Genomic DNA, 20,545 nt, shown 5'->3' with positions numbered 1-20,545 from the left:
GAAGACTGAGCCGAAGCTGATGCCTTGGGCTTCTTTTAGTTCAACATAAGTAGTAATTGACTCGTAACTCCCTCCCCCAGTTTCATCTCCATGGCACATTTTCTTTTGCACCTGCCAGGGGACCTGTGCTTTTTTGAGTTGTAAGACCAACAGCTGTGGGACACAGATGCATGCAATGGGCTGTTAGAACAGGAGCTAGAGTTCTAAGCTGGTTCTGGAACCTGCGCTGTTGACGAGTTGAGTGAATGAGGACTTCACCTCCACTCTCTAGGACTCTGCTTTCTTCCCACATTGGGTCAAGTGCTCTCTAACATCTGCTGAGCCTTCAGCTCTCTCTTAGGTGCTAGGCCTGGTCCCAAGGGCCCACGTTCAGGTAACTCCATTACATCCGAGCAGGAGGGACAACCCCAATTTTGCAACCCACAGCTCTGGCCTGCAATGGATGCAGCCATTGTGGAAAACCCTCTCTTCCTGCTGCGCCAGGGCATGACCTGCTCTTCCAACCCACGGCGAAGAGCGTCCAAAAGAAAAACGCCTGCTGAAGAGCAGGCTCCTCACCGGAGTGAATGCAGCAGGAATCACATGGGCCTTGGAGCTCTGCTGTGGACACAAAGTTTTACTTTTTAAATGTATTTATTGTGCACCAGCTAGGCATTGTGCATCCCCCCCACACACAAATTCTCACAGAGATTCTGCAAAATTGATGTTACTTATTTCATAGAGGGGAAGACTCGGGCTCACAGAAGTTAAGTAAAAGCTCAAAATCACATGGCTACTAAGTCACAAAGCAAAGATGAAGTTCTGGGCTGACTCATTCCAAGGCTATTCCTATCAACCATGACAAACTGCATCTCCATCCATACCTTCAGTGACGAAGTTCCCTTGGCCTGAGATTAGTCCTTCTATCTCTGCTTCTCACCCCATCTCTTGTAACTTCTCCCTTTCAATTATTGTCTTCCTCTTGGCCCACAGTCATGTACACATTTCCAATTTTTTTAAATTTAATTTTATTTTTTGAGACAGGGTCTCACTCTGTAACCCAGGTGGAGGTGGCACGATCTTGGTTCACTGCAACCTCTGCCTCCCAGGCTCAAGCGATCCTCTCATCTCAGCCTCCTGAATAGCTGGGACTACAGGCATGTGCCACCACACCTGGCTAATTTTTACATTTTGTGCAGAGATGAAGTTTCACCACATTGGCCAGGCTGGTCTCGAACTCCTGGGCTCAAACGATCTGCCCACCTCAGTCTCCCAAAGTGCTGGGATTACAGCCATGAGCCACCACGCCCGGCCTACACATTTCCAATTTTTAAATGAACCAATGCACACAAACTCTTCCCTTGACTCCATGTTCTCCCTCCTTCCCTTCCCATCCACACTCGCTGCCTCCATTTCCTCATCTCCATTCTCTCCCTTCAGTTACTGCACTTCACTAAAATCACCCTGGGTAAGATCCCCAAGGACCCTTTCATTGTAAACTTCAGCTGGTAGATTTCAGTCCTTGGAGCAGGTGACACTTTTGACCACCTTGTTCTTATTAAAACATTCTCCTCCCTCCGTTTCTATGGGTCCCTTCTCTTTTGGTTGACTTTCTATTCAGCAATACATTCTCCATATCCTCTTCCTATGCCCATTCCTTAATGTTGATATTTTGAAGGGCTCTGCCTTCAGCCTCTTCTCTTCTCCACTGCAGAATATTCCTGGCCCATCATCTACAGTCATGGCTACAACCCCATCTGCTTGGTTATGGTTCTCGGATCTCCATTTCCAGTCCTGACTTTAGGTCTGAGCTTTACTGTCACAGATAAAACTTCTAGGGTGGGTGTGGTGGCTCACATCTGTAATCTTAGCACTTTGAGAGGTCAAGCTGGGAGGATCACATGAGGCCAGGAGTTTGAGAGCAGCCTGGGTAACACAGCAAGACCCCATCTCTATTTATTGGGGGGCGGGGGGGAAGGAAAGAACTTCTAGACATAGCCCCTGAGTCTTGTCTTGGATATAACTTTGAGATGTGGTCATGGGTCTTCAGAGTCAACCTGTTTGAAACTGGACCCATCATTTTCTTCTCCCACATTTGCTTCTCTTCTTATATTCTCCATCACAGTTTGTTTCATTTACTCTCCCTCCAACCATGGCACTCAGATAATTCATGCAGTCCTGCCGTGTCTTTCTGCCCTCAACACACCACACACACCAGCCCACACACCATGTCCCCATCCAATGGGCCACTGAGTCCTGTATCAATGCTACCCCTCAGACACCTCTTGCATCAGGCCCTTCTCTTCTTTCCCACCACCACTGTCTGAGGGCAGGCCCTTTAGGGACAGTTGCACTAGCCTCCCCAAATGCTGTGCTCACCTTCCGCCTCACATCAGCCTGCCCTTGCTAAGCCCACTGCGGCTTTCTCTCATGAAAAGCTGGTCTTGGGGCCAGGCACGGTGGCTCACACCTGTAATCCCAGCACTTTGGGAAGCTGAGGCGGGCAGATCATGAGGTCAGGAGTTCAAGACCAGCCTGGCCTACATGGCGAAACCCCATCTCTGCTAAAAATACAAAAAAAAATTAGCCAGGCTTGGTGGCATGCGCCGGTGATCCCAGCTACTCGGGAGGCTGAGACAGGAGAATTGCTTGAACCTGGGAGGTGGAGGTTGCAGTGAGCCGAGATCGCGCCACTGCACTCCAGCCTGGTTGACAAAGCAAGGCTCTGTCTCAGAAAAAAAAACAAAAAAAAAAAAGAAAAGCTGGTCTTGCCCGTTCAAGCTAAAACCCTGTAGTGACTCTTCATTGTCTAAGCGTCTCACCTTTACCCACCTTCCAATCCTCATCTCCCATCATCCTGACAAATCCTATGCTCTGCTGAGGGCGAAATACCTGTAGATCTTGTTCCATCTGCCCAAAAAGCCTTCCCTTTCACTCTTCCCTTGGTGAAGTCCTTCAACTCCTCCAAAACCCAGTTCCCTCCTCTGGAGCCTTCCTTGACCTCCCCGGGTGGGGCTGAGCCATCCTGCTCTCCGCTTCCCACATGCCCACCCGTGCCATGTGTTACAGCCCCTACTACATGTTAGTCATGTTTGTGTACAGGGTTGCATTCTCAGCACAGTGCACCGAACCTAGCACACTCTGCCTATTAGGGTAGATATTATTGAATAATAATACATAAAGGCATGACTTTGGGGTGAGCTGCCCAACTTGAGTCCCAGCTGATATTCATAGAACCGCACCACTTGGCAGTCAGGGGTAACCCAACCTTGGAGAGAAAATCCAACCACTTCTTCATCTATGCAGCATTTGAATGTCATGCACCTGTTTGGGGTCAGACACCACCATACTGGGCACTGGATTCCAAGATGAATTAAACACTGCTTCGACCCACAAGGAACTCAGAGGTCAGTGATTAGAAAGCCCAGGTAAGAGCATCCCTGGCTCCTTATGTGTAGGAGCTGTGGCTCCAGGATGGATACATGTGTGCACTCATCTTTTCTTGGGGGATGTGGTAGCGGACGCTTTGTCTCACCCCTAGATGTTGTGACTGGGGATCAGTATTACTTAGAATGAGGGTCAAGAGGACTTACTGAGTCTGCACATAAGGATGCACTTAGGTAAACAACATCACCAAATTGCACCTGGGGCAGAGAATTATGGCCCCTAACATTGACAGCCAGGGGCCATGGAAAAATGTGTAACCTTGTGCCATGGGTTCCTGCGTAATATCTTCCAGGTGACATTCATATTTGCATTCAAGATCTGTATCTATAGATCTGTATCTGTATCTATATGTATGATGTTGTAACTGAGGGAAAGGCCCAAACTGGGCTTGCTCTGTTGATAACAAAATGTCACGTTGCTCCAGCATAAGCAATAGAAAATAGTTGGAACTCTAACAACAACCCCAAAACAATGAATTCTCCCTTGGAACTAAAAAGACTAAGAGACTTGATGGGAATCCGAATGCCAGAACTCTCTCAGAAGCCAGACGTACAATGGCTTGGAAGATGTGGGGCTAAAAGTCCGCCTCAACATACCTTTCTGTAAATGGTCAAATTTAAAGCCCTCCAATCAGATTCTGCCAAGCCAACATTCCTAAATCTTTTCATTGCCTTCTGATCCCATAAATTTACCCCAGGCCTCAAACTGGGGAGACATTTTTTCTTTTTTTTTTTTTTGAGATGGAGTCTTGCTCTGTTGCCCAGGCTGCAGTGCAGTGGTGCAATCTCAGCTCACTGCAGCCTACACCTCCCAGGTTCAAGCAATTCTCCTGCCTCAGCCTCCTGAGTAGCTAGGATTACAGACGCATGCCACCAAGCCTGGCTAATTTTTGTATTTTTAGTAGAGATGGGGTTTCACCATGTTGGCCAGGCTGGTCTCAAACTCCTGACTTCAGGTGATCTGCCCACCTCAGCCTCCCAAAGTTGTGGGATTACAGGCATGAGTCACCGTGCCTGGCTGGGGAGACAGATTTGAATTCACTCCTGTCTCTTTGCTGACCAGTTTTGCAAATAAAGCCGCTGCTTTTTCCAAAGCTAGTGCTTCATAGTATTGGCTTCTGTGCCCATGGGGCAGCAAAACCATTTGCTTGATAAAAATGCGGTGGCTCTCGCCAGTAATCCCAGCACTTTGGGAGGCCGAGGCGGGCAGATCACCTGAGGTCGGGAGTTCGAGACCAGCCTGACCAACATGGAGAAACCCCGTCTCTACTAAAAATACAAAATTAGCCGGGTGTGGTGGCAGATGCCTGTAATCCTAGCTACTTAGGAGGCTGAGGCAGGAGAATTGCTTGAACCTGGGAGGCGGAGGCAGCCTGGGCAACAGGAGCAAGACTCTGTCTCAAAAAAAAAAAAAAAAAAAAAAAAGTGATGTGCTGTTCTTGGTGGTCTGAGTAAGTAAAGGATGAATAAGAAAGACGCCATGTTAAAGAAGCTGAATGTCTGCTAGGAGAGCTAACGCATGTATACAAATAACCAAAATGCAACAAATCCCAGAAGGAATGATCCTGCAGAAACTTCCTGATGAAAAGCTTCAAAAACAGCACCCATAAAGTGCTTTGGGTTTCAAATATAAGCTCAGGTGTTCTGGGCTGGCGAGCTTGCTAGTTAGAGCACAATGCTAAATGGGGCCAAAGGCACAGGCCAGTTACCTGGGGGTAGCTCATCTCAGTGGCCACCAGTGACCTCAAAACCCAGCCAGCCTCATTCCAGAAAGCCACGTTGTGCATAAGTTGAGGGGGGCTGTTGGATACTGGGGAGAGTCCAGCACAATTGTAACTTTTCTATGTCTTCTCTAAGCCCAGATGTCTGCTCTCATTTTAATTTTGCATGATCTTGTAATGGCACCAATCCCAAATCATGTGAATTTAAAATGCCCTAAGCTTCAAAATATACGCTCTCTCTTTATAAAGTTAACATGATTGCTTCTGAGTTTTTAGATAAATTGAATGATTGAGTGCAAAAACACTGTTTAAATCAGAGTGCGATACACATTTTTTAAAATCCCAGTGTAAAAAAAAATATATATATATATTGCTTGGTTTCAGAAGAGAAACAAGCCTTTTGTTGACATGATATCAGGGGAACAGTACTAAAAAAACATCAAAGATAGTCACACACACAAATATCCCAGAGTATTCATAGGGAACACCCTCTGTCTTTCCCATATGCGGTGTGGAAAACGGGGCCAGAACGATCCTGCAGAAACTTCCTGATGAAAACAACCCCGTCAGCCCTTCCCAAGCTTGAGGCCGGCTGCCACGGAACCCCAGCCAGGGCTCCAGCGCTTCCTTCGCGGCTCCAGGGACGCAGTGCCCTGCAGGCATCGCCTGCTTGCAGCCGACTTGAGGGGCTCACGGAGTCCCCTGTGCCCGGGACGCGGCTAGATCCTGGAGAAAACCCCTCCACCCAGCCCCATCTGGCAGATAGACTCCAGATTAGCAACCCCGGAGTCACGTGAGCCAAATTTACGCCGTACCCGGGTTCCAAGGTTAATCACCCCTCGCCCCCTCCGCTTCCCGGCTCCGCCGATGTGCCTCCTCTTCAGGCGGGCCTGGGGTCTGCGTCTCCCAGGCAGCTTTGGGGGTGGAAAAAAGGAGGGGAGCGGGGGAGGGGAAAGGAACTTCTTTGTTCTTTCACCGGATAAACTCAGTTTACGGAATTCTCCAACACCCACTCCCACCCCCAGTGTGCAAATATCTCTGATCCTCACTTGGAGGGCGAACTACTTCATTCATTGAGACTTTTGTGTTCCTGGCCCTAGGCTAAGTATTATCTTGTAAGATCACATTTAAGTTTCCCAACAACCCCCTGAGGTAGGTGTTATTATCCCTATTTTACAGATAAAAAGAAATGAGGTACTGAGAATAGCTTGCCTAGGGTTTTACAATTAATAGATTGGCACAGTTAGGTTTTGAGCCCCAGCCTGTTTTGACCCAAAAGCCCTAATCTTTATAGCTGTTCTTTATATAGCAGGAATAAGAGTAATAACCACTCCTTGCAGAGCAATTACTATATTCCAGGCACGGTGCACGGTATTTCTCCAAACTTCTCTCAGAGGCAGGTTTGCCACTTACCCGTTATGTGGCCTCAGGAAGTTTCTTAACCTCTTTTTGACTCAATTGCCCTGTCTGCAAAATGAGGCTAAAAATATGGTTGTCATGAAGAGTAAAAGAATTAATATATGTAAAGCCTGGCACACATTCATCCCTGAAATTGTTGTTGCTGTTGTTTTTTAACCATCATCTCCATTTCACAGGTAAGGAACCTACCCTTGGAGAGGTGAAGGAGTGAATTAGTCCAGCTTGCCCGCTGCACACCTAGCTGCAGAGAGACCCCGCTCAGAAGCCGTGCGGGATGGGGGCCCCACAGGCAGGTGAATTGCACTTGGCAGGTGGGAGATGAGCTTCTCCGGGGTCGCTGCAGAACGCGCAGCAGCCCGGGAGGCCGTGAATGGTTATCAGTTACCACGCAAGGCTGGGGGTCCGCCCGCTCCGGATTTGCTCGTAGTGCGAGGGCCCCGGCGGTGTGCTGGGGGATCCCGCCGGGCCCACTTAGAAGCACTCGGGGGGACACACCTGTTCGGGACACCTGTGGACGGGGCCCGGCTGCACCGCAGGAGCCCCCCGCCCTGGCCCCCGCGCACACACAGCCCCCCAAGGCGCGGAGGCCGCCGGCCCTCCCGCCCGTCGCGCTCCAGGGCGGAGTTTCCTCCTCTGCTCATTGTTCACGGCCCAGCGCCCGCCCAGCCCCGGCCCCGGCCCCGCCCGGCCCGGCCGCCGCCGCTGGCGGGCTCCTGGGGGAGGGGGAGGGGCGGGGGCGGGGGCGGGGGCCGGCGCTGACGGGACGGGCCAGGAGTAGCCGCAGCCGCCAGTGGGGCCGCAGCCGCGCAGACGCCGCCCAGGACGCAGCCGCCGCCGCCGCCGCTCCTCTGCCACTGGCTCTGCGCCCCAGCCCGGCTCTGCTGCAGCGGCAGGGAGGAAGAGCCGCCGCAGCGCGACTCGGGAGCCCCGGGCCACAGCCTGGCCTCCGGAGCCACCCACAGGCCTCCCCGGGCGGCGCCCACGCTCCTACCGCCCGGACGCGCGGATCCTCCGCCGGCACCGCAGCCACCTGCTCCCGGCCCAGAGGCGACGACACGATGCGCTGCGCGCTGGCGCTCTCGGCGCTGCTGCTACTGTTGTCAACGCCGCCGCTGCTGCCGTCGTCGCCGTCGCCGTCGCCGTCGCCCTCCCAGAATGGTGAGTGGCCGGCCTGGGTTCCGCCGGGACTCCCACCGTGCCCATGTGCCCCCTGCCCGGCCGAGCTGCAGGGAAGCCCGGCGCGCCGCGTGGTCCGACCCCGAGCAGCCCTATCACCGCCGGGGTCACACACGGAGCCCTGACCTTGCACCATCCACGCCCCCTCCAAACTCCGCAGCGCGGCAGGTGCAGGGCCTGGGCGTAGATTCGTCTCCACTCTCCACTCGGGAGGAGTGGGCGGTGGATTCTGCCCGGGCAAACAGGGGCGCGCCGGTGCTAAGTGGGTTTGCATGGGAAAGAAAAGGGAGACCGCACCGCGAGGCTCCACGCTTCTGCGGGACTCTCGGGATCTGATTACACCTTTCCTTCGTGTTGGAGGGAATGAGGGGCTGTAGTGTGTATTCGTTAATTCCAGGCAAAGAGGCAGGCGAGAGGCTCCCGAGGAAGTCCCTGAAGCAGGTGACAAGCCTCCAGCCACGGCCCACGCGGGCGATGTACTTACCCGTTTGCAGAGGTTTTTTCTAAGTAATGTGTGCAGGCTCAACTCCTTGAGCCCGTGCTGGGGCAGGTACAGAGTCGTAAGTGGACCTTCCACAGTCCCAGAGTCACCTGGCTGAGTGGGGGTCCTACCTCCGTGTCCCTAAAACAATCGCTTCTTAGTGCGTGGCTACGATGGTGAGACCCCCCTCGAATCCTCTTGTTCAAACGGGAACTTGTTCAAACGGGAACTTCTCTCTCGTAGAATAGGATTGGGCTGCATTTTAGACACACCTTAGAAAATGTACCTGTCTCTCATGAAACACCTGCACCTCAGAAACATCCCCTCCCTGTTTCTTTTCAAGGTGAAATGTTACTCTTTCCCTTTTGGGGGACAGGCGATGGCTGCAAACTCAACCAGAACAGGTGTTCTTAAGCCCCTAGGGAACAGCCAGAGTCAGCTCAGCCCCACGGGAGAGGTGCATTTCTCATTCTCTTTTGCCCACCTGAGCACATGTCTGCAGGAAGAGCTGAGGTGGTGTGATCACCCTAGGGCCAGGAGGACTGCGGGGACAGCACAGACAGGGTAGGGATTCTGCTGTGAGCAGGTGCCGGCAGTTTGGGACTGGACTCTAAGGGGCCAGGGGAGATGGAAGGGCAGTACAGTCTCTCCTCTGCACCGCAGGAAACCTTTGGTAGTGGGCAGGCGCTGGCACTCAGGGAGCAGGCAGGCGTGGGCATCCTCCTGTGGCCGGCGGGAGACTCCACCAGCCTGACTAGAAAGGGAAGGTCCCGGCGGGGGGAAGAATGTGTGTCCCTGGAAGAGGGGCTGCAGTGTGAGGAACAGTCAGAACAGCTTTCAGAGTGGCAATCACTGAAGAGCCACACGACATGCAGGGTTGAGATGACACGAGAGTATGGTGGCTCCTTAGCCCTACTCTGGGGACAGCTGGACTTCAGGGTGGGCCTTCATACGAACCTTTTGTTGGGAAGCCTCTTAGAACCACCCAGAAGGGCGTTGGGCTGTGTCAGGAAAGAGGGGTTAGTCCCTAGTGCTTCTGAGCTTAAGGAAGCTGAGCCACCCTTCCTTTGAGGAGTGGGAGGCACTGTGGGACAAGACCCTCCCTGTCTGCCCTAAAAGGAAATGTTCATAAGTCACCAGTGGGCAAAGCTCTGACTCCAGCTCACTGCTGGCTTCAAGGATGGCACTGTTTTTCCTGGCACCTGGGCACTGCCAGAAACCATGTCTCTTCCATGAAGCACCACTTCTGGCCTAACACAGGGTTTGGCACATGGCAGAAGTTTGGTATGTGGCAAACAAAAATGACCATAACCCAGTGCCTGCTCTAACCAGCAAGTAACTTGGCCTATCTGAGCACTGTATGCATTATAGTATGCAGCACTGTTGGGAAGCACTTAGAAAAGTGCAAAGTGCTAAGTGGGGGATGGGGAGAGGATGATGATCATGATGGTGATGATGATTTGCATGTATTGAGGCCAGAAAAGGCTTGTGGGGGGCATGTTGCGGCAAGATTGGTCTGTTCAGTAGCTATGGTGCATTCTACACCACCCTCTAGGGACTCAGTAAGGCCAGCTCCATCCCTGTCCTTCTGAAGGTGTGGTCGCCTGGGCTGCTGTCATCGGGAATAGCATAAACACTGCCCCCCATCTGCTGGAATCCTGTGATTTGATTCAAAGCAAGAAAGATTTATAGCTCGAGTCTCTGCAACAAAGGAATTATCCCCAGACAGGTCCATCCCTGCCCCTCTCCCCCAGCTTACCTTCCAATATATGGGCAGATTATGCAGCCTACAGCAAAGAAAGCATTCACCTTAAGGGTTGGACAATTCATCAGACCCCCTTTCAGTGCTTTTTGGTTTGATAACCATCTGGCAGAACCACAATGGTAAGTCACATCTCCGTGCCTCCGTTTCGTTATTTGTGAGATAGAATAAAAGAACCAAAGGGACCTCTAGTTCCACCATGATAAGATATCTGGGGTTCCGTGTTCCCTCAGCTACTGAAAGGACAAGCTGATTCAGTACTCTCAATCTGATGTTCAATGGATGAATTCTGGGCAACAGAAAGGCAGCTTGGTGGGGTGGAAACACTCAGACTTTGGGTCAGAGAGATGTGCATGACCATGGACAAAATAGTGGACCTCCCTGAACCTCAGTTTCTTCATCTATAAAGTAATAACAGCCCTACCTTGTGGGTTGCTATGAAGATGAGCGAGTATATATATCATGGGCTTGGCTTTACGCCCAACTCAGGATCAACACTCAAAAAATAGCTATGATGATTAGTAAGCATATATATTGAGCACCTGGTGGGTTTAAGGGACCCCAGGCATTGGGATCCTGCCAATGTTTGTGGGTATCAGTGGATATATGATAATAAAAACTGAAGCCCCAGTGCCACTCTGTGGGAGAGGGAGGCATATGGAAAAGAGTATAAGATTTGGAAGGGGTGGTCTGGAGGTCTGGAGAAAGCTTCCTGAAGGAGGTGGGGTTTTCACATAGGGATTTTAAAATTAAAAGGGTCAGTGTTTCCTAATGTGGCTGAGGCTCTATGAATTGTAGTGTGTAGGGGAGATGCAGATTAGGGTCGGGGAGTCTGTGATGGTGGTTCTTGAGATGGAGTCATTGAGGCTTTGGGGAGATTAGCTCTCAGAACTGGAGAGAAAATTCCACGGTGGCAGGGTGTGGCTGCTCACGCCTGGAATCCCAGCAAATTTGAGAGGCCAAGGTGGGAGGATCACTTGAGCCTAGGAGTTCAAGACCAGCCTGGGCAACCTAGTAAGACTGTACTAAAAAGACAAAAAAATTAGCTGGGCATGGTAGTGGCACACGCCTGTAGTCCCAGCTACTCAGGAGACTGAGGTAGGAGAATTGCTTGAACGTGGGAGACAGAGGTTGCAGTGAGCCAAGATCACGCCACTGCTCTCCAGCCTGGGCAACAGAGGGAGACCCTGACTCAAGGAAAAAAACAAGGTGCCCAGGGCTGGGGTGGGGGAATGTGGGTGTTCCCAGCATGGTGCAGCTTGGGACAGGATCTGAGGCAGGAGCGAGCTGGACATGGCGGGGTTAGGAGCCCAGCCATTCAAGGGCAGACCCAAAAGCACCTGGTGTCAGTGTGGCCAGAGCTTTGGAGTGTGGTCGTCCAGAGAAGGGCTGAGGAGGGGAGCGTGGCCTGCCCAGGAGGGTCCTCAGGGTGTCCCCCAGGCCTAGAGAAGGTGGGGGAAGAGGCATGGAGGCTGTCCCCCATCTGGTTTTCCTCAGGAACCCATGTTTGAAAGGAGAGGAGGGTGCTGCCTGGGGTTTTAACACCACTGCCCTGTGGAAAGCTGAGAGGGGAAGGGGACTAGACTCCCTGTGGTTAGAATTCCCCCCCTTGCAGGGAGGGAGGGGAAGAGCCACTCCTAGCCACCCTCAGGCATCATCTCTGAGATGCCTTCCCTGGTTTCCTAGGGAGAACCAAAGTGTGTTCCATGATCTGTGTGTCTCCTCCACCATGCGGTGAGGCCCTCGAGGGGCCAACAACATACTTATCACCACCTCCAGGGCCCAGCCCAGCACCCAGCGCTGAGCGGTCGCTTGGGATACTCTGGACTGTAGAACTGAGGGGAACCGGCTTCAGCCCTGGCTTTAGGCTCCCTGGAAGGGGAGTTTGCATCCTGGGAAGGGATGTCTGGCCAGTGGGCTTGTTCTCCAGCAGCTAGAGCTGGTGGGAGCAACTGCTGAAGGTTAAGGCTTCTGTGGGGCTGGTGACCCCTGTGATGCTGGTGGCTGCTGTGGAGCTGGCTCAGCACTTAGCTCAGAGCCCTTCACTGTTTTTTTTTTTTTTGAGATGGAGTCTCGTTCTGTCACCCAGGCTGGACTGCAGTGGCGTGATCTCAGCTCACTACAAGCTCCACCTCCCGGGTTCACGCCATTCTCCTGCCTCAGCCTCCCGAATAGCTAGGACTACAGGCGCCCACCTCCACGCCCGGCTAATTTTCTGTATTTTTTAGTAGGGACGGGGATTCACCATGTTAGCCAGGAAGGTCTCGATCTCCTGACCTCATGATCCGCCCGCCTCAGCCTCCCAAAGTGCTGGGATCACAGGCATGAGCCACCGCACCCAGCTCAGAGCCCTTCACTCTTAAGGGAAGTGGGAGGAATCGTGTCTCCAGTTCACTGGACTTCTCAGGAGGGGACGTAGATGACCCCTATTCCAGGAAGTGCTGCTTCTTCACACCCTTTGAGGCAGAGGCCCTCTTCAGGGCTGCTGAATGCAAGCTTTGCTCTAGCTGAAATGGAAGTCATTCCTACATAATCAGAGAAAGAGAATGGCATTGCCCTGCCCATCCCTACCCACCAGCCTGAGCCTGCCTGGACACTTTCACTGGACCTCAGCCAGGAGCTCTTTACCCAGCTCTGGGCTCATTTCCTATTTGCACCCACTGGCCATGAAGCAGGGCAGGGAGCTCAGCTGGTGGGGTTTCCTGTCCCGGACCCAGGAACATGGGCTAAGTTGGATGGGCCTCTCTTTATCATGTATCCTGTCTGCTCTATGGGGCTGTTAAGAAATCAAGTGATGTAGCAGATCTGGGATGGTGACTCCTACCCTGCACAGGCCAAATGACGGGGGCATTCTCTATAAGAAAAGCCTTCAAGAAAATTGACACAGAGGATCCCTTAAAGGAGCCTCTTCATATTTGCAGTAACATTTGCCATATGACTGCTTCGAGTCGGCAGCCTGCAGGCTGTGCAATGTGGAATTCGGTTGGCAAAGGGTACTTTCCACACCACTTCTAAATGAGCCAGAAAATCATAGGACACAGAATTCTAGAGCTGGGGAGCCTTCTGGAAATCATCTACTACAACCTGCTTGTTTCAAATGGGGGATTGCAGGCCAGGGAGGTGGGTTCATTCGCCCAAGTTCCCAGTGACTCTCAATAAATAGCTTTCCAGGAGGTGGGTGTGCACACGTGTGTGTGCGTGTGTGTGTGTGTGCGTGCATGTATGTGTGTGCATGTGCGCATACGTGTCAGCTGTAAATACCAGAATAGAACTCAGCCCTTTCAGTGCTGATTCCCTCCTGGGAATTGGAAAAACTCACCAAATCCCCTTTATATATTTTTTTATTTTACTTCTTTTTGTTCTGAGATGGAATCTCGCTGTGTTGCCAAGGGTGGAGTGCAGGTGGCTTGCTGCAACCTCTGCCTCCCAGATTCAAGACATCCTCCTGCCTCAGCCTCCTGAGTAGCTGGGACTACAGGCATGCGCCACCACACCCAGCTAATTTCTGTAGAAATAGGGTCTCACCATGTTGGCCAGGCTGGTCTTGAACGCCTAACCTTGAGTGATCTGCCCACCTCAGCCTCCCAGTGCTAGGATTACAGGCATGAGCCATCATGCCTGGCGAAAAACCTCTTTAAAAAGGACTTTAGGATGGTGACAAACCTATACTGTGCCCACATCTCTTTCCCTACCCCTCTACCATAAGGGTAAATTGAGGCTTGGGGCCATGTTGCTATTTAAGAGTTAGACTCCTAAGGGTGCCTGGAATACTGTGCCATAGCACTGGCCACCATGCATTGTGCCTAAATATGTCGGTGTTTGCCACTGGCCCACTGGCTGAGGACCCCCTGTCATTTCCACAGCCTCTAGCCAAATAGGTGGTTAAGAAATGTTTGCGGGATAATTGGCTGCACAAAATGCAGCGTTCAGCTGCAGATTCATCAGTGGCCCTTGCCCACATCTCCCGCATCCCAAGCTCTTGCATTGTCTCTGAGTCCTGGCCCTGCCCTGAATCGCTGGAGCAGCAGCAAGCACAGACCCTCAGCTAAGAGGGTCCCCCAGCTAAGGTTGGCCCCTGGGCCACCTCCAACCATCCCCACCCCCTTCCCCGACATATATCACCACCACCCTCTCTTCTTTTGTAGCCTTATTCCCCTTGGGAATAAGCCACCTCACACTTCCGAGGACCAGGGTGTAGGGTGGCACCTCGTCCACCAATTGTCATGGCCAGAAGGCTATGTATGTGCCTCCACTCAGGGGGAAGAGAATTCTAAGGAGCGGCTGAGAGAGGCTTGCTATCTGGCCCTGGATTGGGGTGCAGGGACCTCCCAGAGCCAGGCCCCTAGGGATGTGTGGACTGACCTGGGGTCTACGCTGTCTGATTTCTTAACCTTCCAGCTACCTGACCCTGATCAGAGTAGAAGGGACGGCAGTTAAGCAAGCCGGTGAGGAGGGCACTCTGTAATTTTTGAACATACTGGCTGTGTGTGAGGCTGAAGCCACAGCTCCTTCTTACCTGAAATTCATGGAGCTCTGCCTGAGGACTGAGTCCCTTTGGTCTCCATCCAGCCAGGTTCCCATGCCAACCTACTCCCAACACACTGATTGGAACCACAGAGCCCTCCAGCTGGGGTAGCCTGCCTTTGCATGACCTTTATCTCACAGACCATTCCAGAGAGGAGAAACTGAGGCACAGATGCAAGGACTTGCAGTAGATCATACAACCAGCTCTTCTCCCAATATGTACGTGGTTCACTCCCTCACTTCCTTCAGCTCTCCCCATGAATGCCACTTTCTCAAAGAGGCCTACCGGGGCTGCTCTGCTTAGAAACCCCTCCCCCCCAGCACACTCTTTTCCTCCTACTCGCCTTTATTTTCTCCATAGCACTCGTCACCTGATATGTGTTCATTGGTTTGTTTGTTTGTCTGTCTCTTCCCCGTTAGACTGTAAGTTCCATGAGGGCAGGGACTTCCATTGTGCTGTAGCCACAGCACCTAGAATAGCACTTAGCTCAAAGTAGCTGTTCCATAAATATAGGTTGAATGAATGAGTTAGTAAGTGAGTAGGTGTCAGGGCTGGCTTAGAACTTGCCTGCCAGCCTGTGCTCTGTAAATGCAAGGCTACCTGATTCAAGAAAGAGGTGGCAGGTGGGGGCCGGCCTAGGTCCTGGGGGCATATGGGCAGGAAGGAGCAGGGATTCCTGGTAGGAAGCAGGAGGGGGCCATGTCTCCTGTGCTGTCCCCACCCAAAGGATCCTTCAGCTGAGGATTGGGGCTTGTGTTTGTTAGAACTTGATTTGGCTGCTCATAGCAACAAAAAAGAGTAGTGGATTAAATAAGACAGGCATCAGTTATATCTCTCTCATATCATAGAACTTCAGAGGGGTGGTATAGTGGTTCTGCCATCATTCACACGTGGCCTCGTGGTCCAAGGTGGCTGCTGGAGTTCCAGCCATCAGGAAAAAGGAAGGAACAAGAAGCATGTGGCTCCTCTTTAGAGTGTGCCTCCCAGAAACCACATGTGACACTTCTAGTCACATTTTGTTGAACAGAACTTAGCATGTGGTCACACTAGCTGAAAGGCAGGCAGGAAAGAGAACTTAGGGAAGAGTAATTTTTATTTCAGGCACCCAAGTGCCTACCCAAAAAACAGTGGTTCAGTTACAAGGAGGAAGCAGAGAGTGGATATTTGGAGTAGGTGACTGGCAAATGCTACTGCAGAACTGGTCCCTGCAAACCTTGGACGTCTCTGTAGCTGCCCTCTGTCCTCACCTTGCCGGTCAGATCAGCTTCGCCTCTGCACACAGCTCTCAGGAAACACAGCTCTCAGGAAGCCTGGTCCCACTTAGTCCTCCAGTTATGTGGCTGTAGCCTTCTGGTCCTGAGGGGCAGTTTCTGGTAATGCACAAAGAAACCTGGCTCCTTCCTAATTGGGTCTTGAGCTGCAACAGGGATCCGAGGTGTCCCAGGACCCCCATAAGCTGGGCCTTGGGCAGGGTAGGAGGGGAAGGACCTGGGTTCCCCCACTGGCCTGTGGATAGGGAAGAAGTGTTTCTGCTCCCCATCTCTCCCTCTCACCTCAGAGCAGGTGAGTGCAGGGCCAAGGAAATACTGTCTTAGGGGTTTGGCTATGAGCTCTCAGTGACAGCAGCAGCCGGGGGCCAGTGACTTTGAAACCTGCGGGTGGTATTCCGTGGAGCTGCCTTGGGGGCCACTGAGGGCTTGGGGTGCATACCTGGAGAGGAAAATTAAGAGGAGGCCGATTTGGGGGGAGTTTTACGTCCATCCTCTTCACGAAGGCCTACTTTTAACTGTTCCGTATGATAGGTCTCTACGTAAGAATTCCTTTGACAAAAAATTTTGCTGTGATGGTGAAGAGAAGAAAAATGGAAATCTCTGCTGATGCCCTAGACTCTGCAGTTAAGAGGCTTGGATTTTAGCCACAGCTTCGACACTTGTTAGCCTTGTGATCTCAGACTTGTTCCTTGACCTGGGCTTCTCCAGCGGGAAAATAGGTATTGTGCCCTCCTCCATAGCAAGGGCTAAATAGGATCATGTAGGTGGTGCCTCTGATGTGCAGAAAGCATCCACACGTGTTGATTTTTTTTTTTTTTTTTTTTTTTTGAGACGGAGTTTCACTCTTGTTTGTCCAGGCTGGAGTGCAATGGCGCAATCTTGGGTCACCACTACCTCCGCCTCCCGGGTTCAAGTGATTCTCCTGCCCCAGCCTCTGGGGTAGCTGGAATTACAGGCATGCACCACCACGCCCACCTAAGTTTGTATTTTTAGTAGAGACGGGGTTTCTCCTTGTTGGTCAGGCTGGTCTTGAACTCCCAACCTCAGGTGATCCGCCTAATCAGCCTCCCAAAGTGATAGGATTACAGATGTGAGCCACCCGCACCTGGCATGTTGATTTTATTTCTTGTATTGGCGTCAGCCCTAGCCCAGTGTGAGTCAACAGACCCTGTTACCCCACCCCCAACGCCATGCTAGAGCAGCATCCTCTGCGACCTCACAGGGCCAGGTTTTCTTCTTCAAGGCCCTTCCCCATTACTCAGGCTGGGGGCCTCAGTGCGGGGAGGCAGGGTTAGTTGGAGACCGCAGTTTTAGATGAAGGTGGCCAGGGTGGGCTTAGCTAAGAAGCCACTGAGATGGCGCCCCCTGCCTTCCTATTCCTGCCTGGTGCTCCTCAGCTCACCCCTAGGGGGCACTGCCCTTCACTTTGGGGCTTTGAGTCAAAACAGACTTTTTTTTTTTTTTTTTTTTTTTTTTTGAGACAGGGCCTCACTGTGTTGCCCAGGCTGGAGTGCAGTGGCACGATCTCGACTCACTGCAACCTCCGCCTCAGGAGTTCAAGCGATCCTCTCACCTCGGCTTCCCCCATAGTTGGGATTACAGGCACCTGCCCCCAAGCCCAGCTGATTTTGGGATTTTTAGTAGAGATGGGGTTTCCCCATGTTGGCCAGGCTGGTCTTGAATTCCCGGCCTCAAGTGATCCGCCCGCCTCAGCCTCCCAAAGTGCTGGAATTACAGACGTGAGCCACAGCGCCCGGCCCAAAACAGGCTTTCTGAAGCCACCTGCACCCCGATCCTGGCAGCCCCCTAGGTGGTTAGCCCATAACGTGGTTAAATGCAGTCTTCCACCTCTTGGCTCTCTTTCTACCTGGATAAATGGCGCTTGTGATTGGGTAATCAGCTCCTGGACACGCCCACTGTACACTCCCTCCTAGCCCTGGGATCCCAGTCTCCCTTTCACTTTCCTTTCTCAGATCATCCAACCCTGAGCCTACCCCCTCTCTTGCACCAAATTCCTCTTGATGCCATCGAGCCAGGCAGTGAAGCAGGCAGTGACACGATGTTGATCTTTCTATGGCCAGCTCTCCATTTTCCTTCTCAGGAAAGGGAGGGCATGGGGGAGGTGCATGGAGCTACAGTCCAACAACTAGAGAAAGGAATATTTCCTCACAAGGCCGAAAAGTGGGAGGAAGATAGGAAGGGAAGGTAGGAAGTACTCACAGATCTGCCTTGGGGGCATTGCTCTGTGCCTCAGTTTACCCACATGGTAAGTCTGGGCTAGCACCATATGAGGTTTTTTATTTTACTTTTATATTCCATAAAGCAAGCTGTGTTCCAAACTGTGTCCAGTAAGAACATTTCGTAATCCTCAAGATTTTAATAGTTATGCTCTCAATGAATATTTAATAAAATGAATACATTTCCCTTCTTAGAAGGTCAAAATACATTATGATCTTACATGCTTTGAAATATCCTCTAAGGAAGATTACTTATTACCTTTGTTTAACCCATCATTCCCCAAACGTACTTTAACTATGGGACCATTTCCTTTTCAGCCTCCTCTTTTTAGTAGAACATCGATCTAGATTTAGTAGAACATCGAGAGGAACAGCTTCCTCTCTTTAGTAGAACGAGAGTGTTTAACATCTTGTGAAACACTCATGTTTCCCCAGGACATTTTGGGGGAAATACTGATGTGAAGATAGAGTGACCAACTGTCCCAGATTACCCAGTATAAACAGGTTATCCTGGGATGTGGGACTTAGAGTACTAAAACCCAGACAGTCCTGCGTAAAGACCAAGCTGGAAAAGCGTTAGCTATAACAACACACTCACATGTGTCTAGCTGAAATGAAGAGGGCCCTCTGACCTTAGGGGATTTATAGGAAACAACATGGCAGGTCGCAGCCAGTTTGAAGGCTGCTTGCCCCAGAGTCCATTGGGAACAAGTTACATTCCAGGCTGGTGGCCCCTCAAGAGTGTTTGCAGTGGTGTTGCTTCTCAGCCAGAAGTGGGAGGCTCTGTTAAAAGAATTATGGAAGTGTGTGTTTTTGATGTTTGATCTTTCTGCCCAGATGGGGGCAGACATTGTTTGCCGGTTGCCTGTGGCTGGCTCTTTCCTGTTGTGCCTCTGCCCCCTGCTGCTTTTTGAGTCCTTGACCCTGACAGCATCACGGTGCTGTTTTAGATCCTGAGTCCCGTCATCCTGTCATCCTGCCCCAGGAGCTTGGAGAAGGGGATTCCAGGATGTTCTGGTAGCCAGCACTGTCATAGTGGCTCACAGACAGTTCTGGATAAACAGGGCCTGCTGAGTGCATGGGTCTCATCCACCTTCATGCTGTCATTGTTCCTGGGAGTTGGTGGTTGAGGGGGTAGTGTGCTTGTTTGTTAAGCCACCAGCTTGCATGTGCTTTTCCAGCTGCAGCTAGCACCTAAGGCACTACTCGCAGGTGGGACAATGAGGAGGGGTGCCCATTGTTCAGCCAGATGCAGTCCTGCATCCTGCCCCGGGGGCACTGCCAAGCGTAGTACAGGGCGTGCGTGCGTAGTACAGGGCGTGCGTGCGGAGGCCCTGCTGCTCCCTCCCCAGGCCTGTGCTGTCCTAACTCCTGCCCACGCCTCCCTGATCTGGAGGCCCTGAGAGCACCGCCCAAAAAGTTGCTTCTCATCCTGAGGTCATCCTGGGTTTTGCTTCTCCATGGCTGGGGTTCTAGAGAGCTTGTGCTGTGGATCGGCTTCTGGGGAAGGGCAGGGTGGGAGCCGTCCTGGCCTTTCGTTCACCCACGGCATCCTATGGGGATTACACTTGGGCAGGGAAATTCTCTGGCTTTACAGCCCTGGATGAATCTGGAAGTCTGGTCCTGTTGACACAGAATCACATCTCTGAATGCCACAGGCACTCTAGGGCAATCATGTCCATGTGCCAGCTATAACTGGCCCTGGGGTCTCCTGTTGGCTAAGCGCTGGGTATTTGTGTGGGTGCGCCACATGTACACAGGGCTGGTGGCAGGCACAGTGAAGAAAACCAGCAGGGTCCATCTGAGTTGGGTGTTGAGCTGAGGAGTGGGTTTGCAAAAGAAACAGATCCTCTGTCCAGACACTCACAACCCAGTGTCCTCCCTGCAGGCCTCAGTTTCCTCATCTGTGAATGAGGAGCTGGCCCAGTGGCTCTCAGGGGCCTTCCTGTTTAGTATTTCCCATGGTCTAAAGCTGGGTGATTTCGGCCCCAGGACTGCTGGCATCATGGGACTGATGGGTGTGTGTGGCTGCATATGCAGAGGGAACCCAGCTGGACAGTGTGGATGTTCTCAGCCATTGGGAATGGCTGGAGGGGGCTGTTCTCATGCATTTGGCTTCTGGGGACAGGCAGTGACACCACGGATTCCTGGGTAATGTGAAGGGGGGCATGGACACATGTCCTGTAGTGTCCTGGGGGCTCTTCGTGTTTTGCTGGCCTCGGCCCTTTCTTCATCTCACTGCAGGTCAGATGCCTCCCTTTCCCCTGTCCAACAACCAAGAGGGGTGCAGCACCTGGAGCCAGGTATATGTGGGCACTCAGACCCCACAGGATTGGAGAGCTGCACTAGGAGTGGGACTACATGGTTCTTAGATGCCAAAGAAGGCGTGGTGGTGCCTGGTCCTCTGACTGCTTGCTCGTCTCTACTTGTTGGGCTGAGATCACATGACATCTAGGCTTCCTCTAGCTGTAACATTATGACTCTGGGATGCGGAGGAATGTGATGCCTGCATGGCTTTTAAAGAGCAG

General features: G+C 52.0%; 1 protein-coding gene across 2 annotated transcripts in view, besides 8 other annotated features; it reads left to right on the top strand.

The window, feature by feature from the left end:
- Positions 6,420-6,967: an enhancer, noted in NCBI's record as "NANOG-H3K27ac-H3K4me1 hESC enhancer chr7:131241775-131242322 (GRCh37/hg19 assembly coordinates)". NCBI's record gives its function as "activates a minimal SCP1, AML or CMV promoter by ChIP-STARR-seq in primed H9 embryonic stem cells {active_cell/tissue: H9 hESC(primed)}" and the evidence as "EXISTENCE:reporter gene assay evidence [ECO:0000049][PMID:30033119]".
- Positions 6,420-7,054: a biological region, named in NCBI's record as "NANOG-H3K27ac-H3K4me1 hESC enhancer GRCh37_chr7:131241775-131242322".
- Positions 6,935-7,054: a silencer, noted in NCBI's record as "silent region_18665". NCBI's record gives its function as "represses an Ori minimal core promoter by ATAC-STARR-seq in GM12878 lymphoblastoid cells {active_cell/tissue: GM12878}" and the evidence as "EXISTENCE:reporter gene assay evidence [ECO:0000049][PMID:35858748]".
- Positions 7,085-7,144: a silencer, noted in NCBI's record as "silent region_18664". NCBI's record gives its function as "represses an Ori minimal core promoter by ATAC-STARR-seq in GM12878 lymphoblastoid cells {active_cell/tissue: GM12878}" and the evidence as "EXISTENCE:reporter gene assay evidence [ECO:0000049][PMID:35858748]".
- Positions 7,225-7,734: a silencer, noted in NCBI's record as "silent region_18663". NCBI's record gives its function as "represses an Ori minimal core promoter by ATAC-STARR-seq in GM12878 lymphoblastoid cells {active_cell/tissue: GM12878}" and the evidence as "EXISTENCE:reporter gene assay evidence [ECO:0000049][PMID:35858748]".
- The window catches only part of PODXL (podocalyxin like), a 56,358-nt gene continuing 43,167 nt past the window's right edge, over positions 7,355-20,545 (top strand). For both annotated transcript variants that reach the window (NM_005397.4, NM_001018111.3), the window contains exon 1: positions 7,355-7,723. In NM_005397.4, the coding sequence (NP_005388.2) occupies positions 7,624-7,723 (100 nt within the window). In that variant the 5' untranslated portion in view covers positions 7,355-7,623. The remainder of the gene's footprint in view (positions 7,724-20,545) is intronic.
- Positions 11,266-11,773: an enhancer, noted in NCBI's record as "H3K4me1 hESC enhancer chr7:131236969-131237476 (GRCh37/hg19 assembly coordinates)". NCBI's record gives its function as "activates a minimal SCP1, AML or CMV promoter by ChIP-STARR-seq in primed H9 embryonic stem cells {active_cell/tissue: H9 hESC(primed)}" and the evidence as "EXISTENCE:reporter gene assay evidence [ECO:0000049][PMID:30033119]".
- Positions 12,282-12,789: an enhancer, noted in NCBI's record as "H3K4me1 hESC enhancer chr7:131235953-131236460 (GRCh37/hg19 assembly coordinates)". NCBI's record gives its function as "activates a minimal SCP1, AML or CMV promoter by ChIP-STARR-seq in primed H9 embryonic stem cells {active_cell/tissue: H9 hESC(primed)}" and the evidence as "EXISTENCE:reporter gene assay evidence [ECO:0000049][PMID:30033119]".
- Positions 18,761-19,604: an enhancer, noted in NCBI's record as "H3K27ac-H3K4me1 hESC enhancer chr7:131229138-131229981 (GRCh37/hg19 assembly coordinates)". NCBI's record gives its function as "activates a minimal SCP1, AML or CMV promoter by ChIP-STARR-seq in primed H9 embryonic stem cells {active_cell/tissue: H9 hESC(primed)}" and the evidence as "EXISTENCE:reporter gene assay evidence [ECO:0000049][PMID:30033119]".

Source organism: Homo sapiens, chromosome 7, assembly GCF_000001405.40.
Source record: "Homo sapiens chromosome 7, GRCh38.p14 Primary Assembly".
NCBI lineage: Eukaryota > Metazoa > Chordata > Mammalia > Primates > Hominidae > Homo > Homo sapiens.
This window is presented reverse-complemented; position numbering and strand designations above follow the sequence as displayed.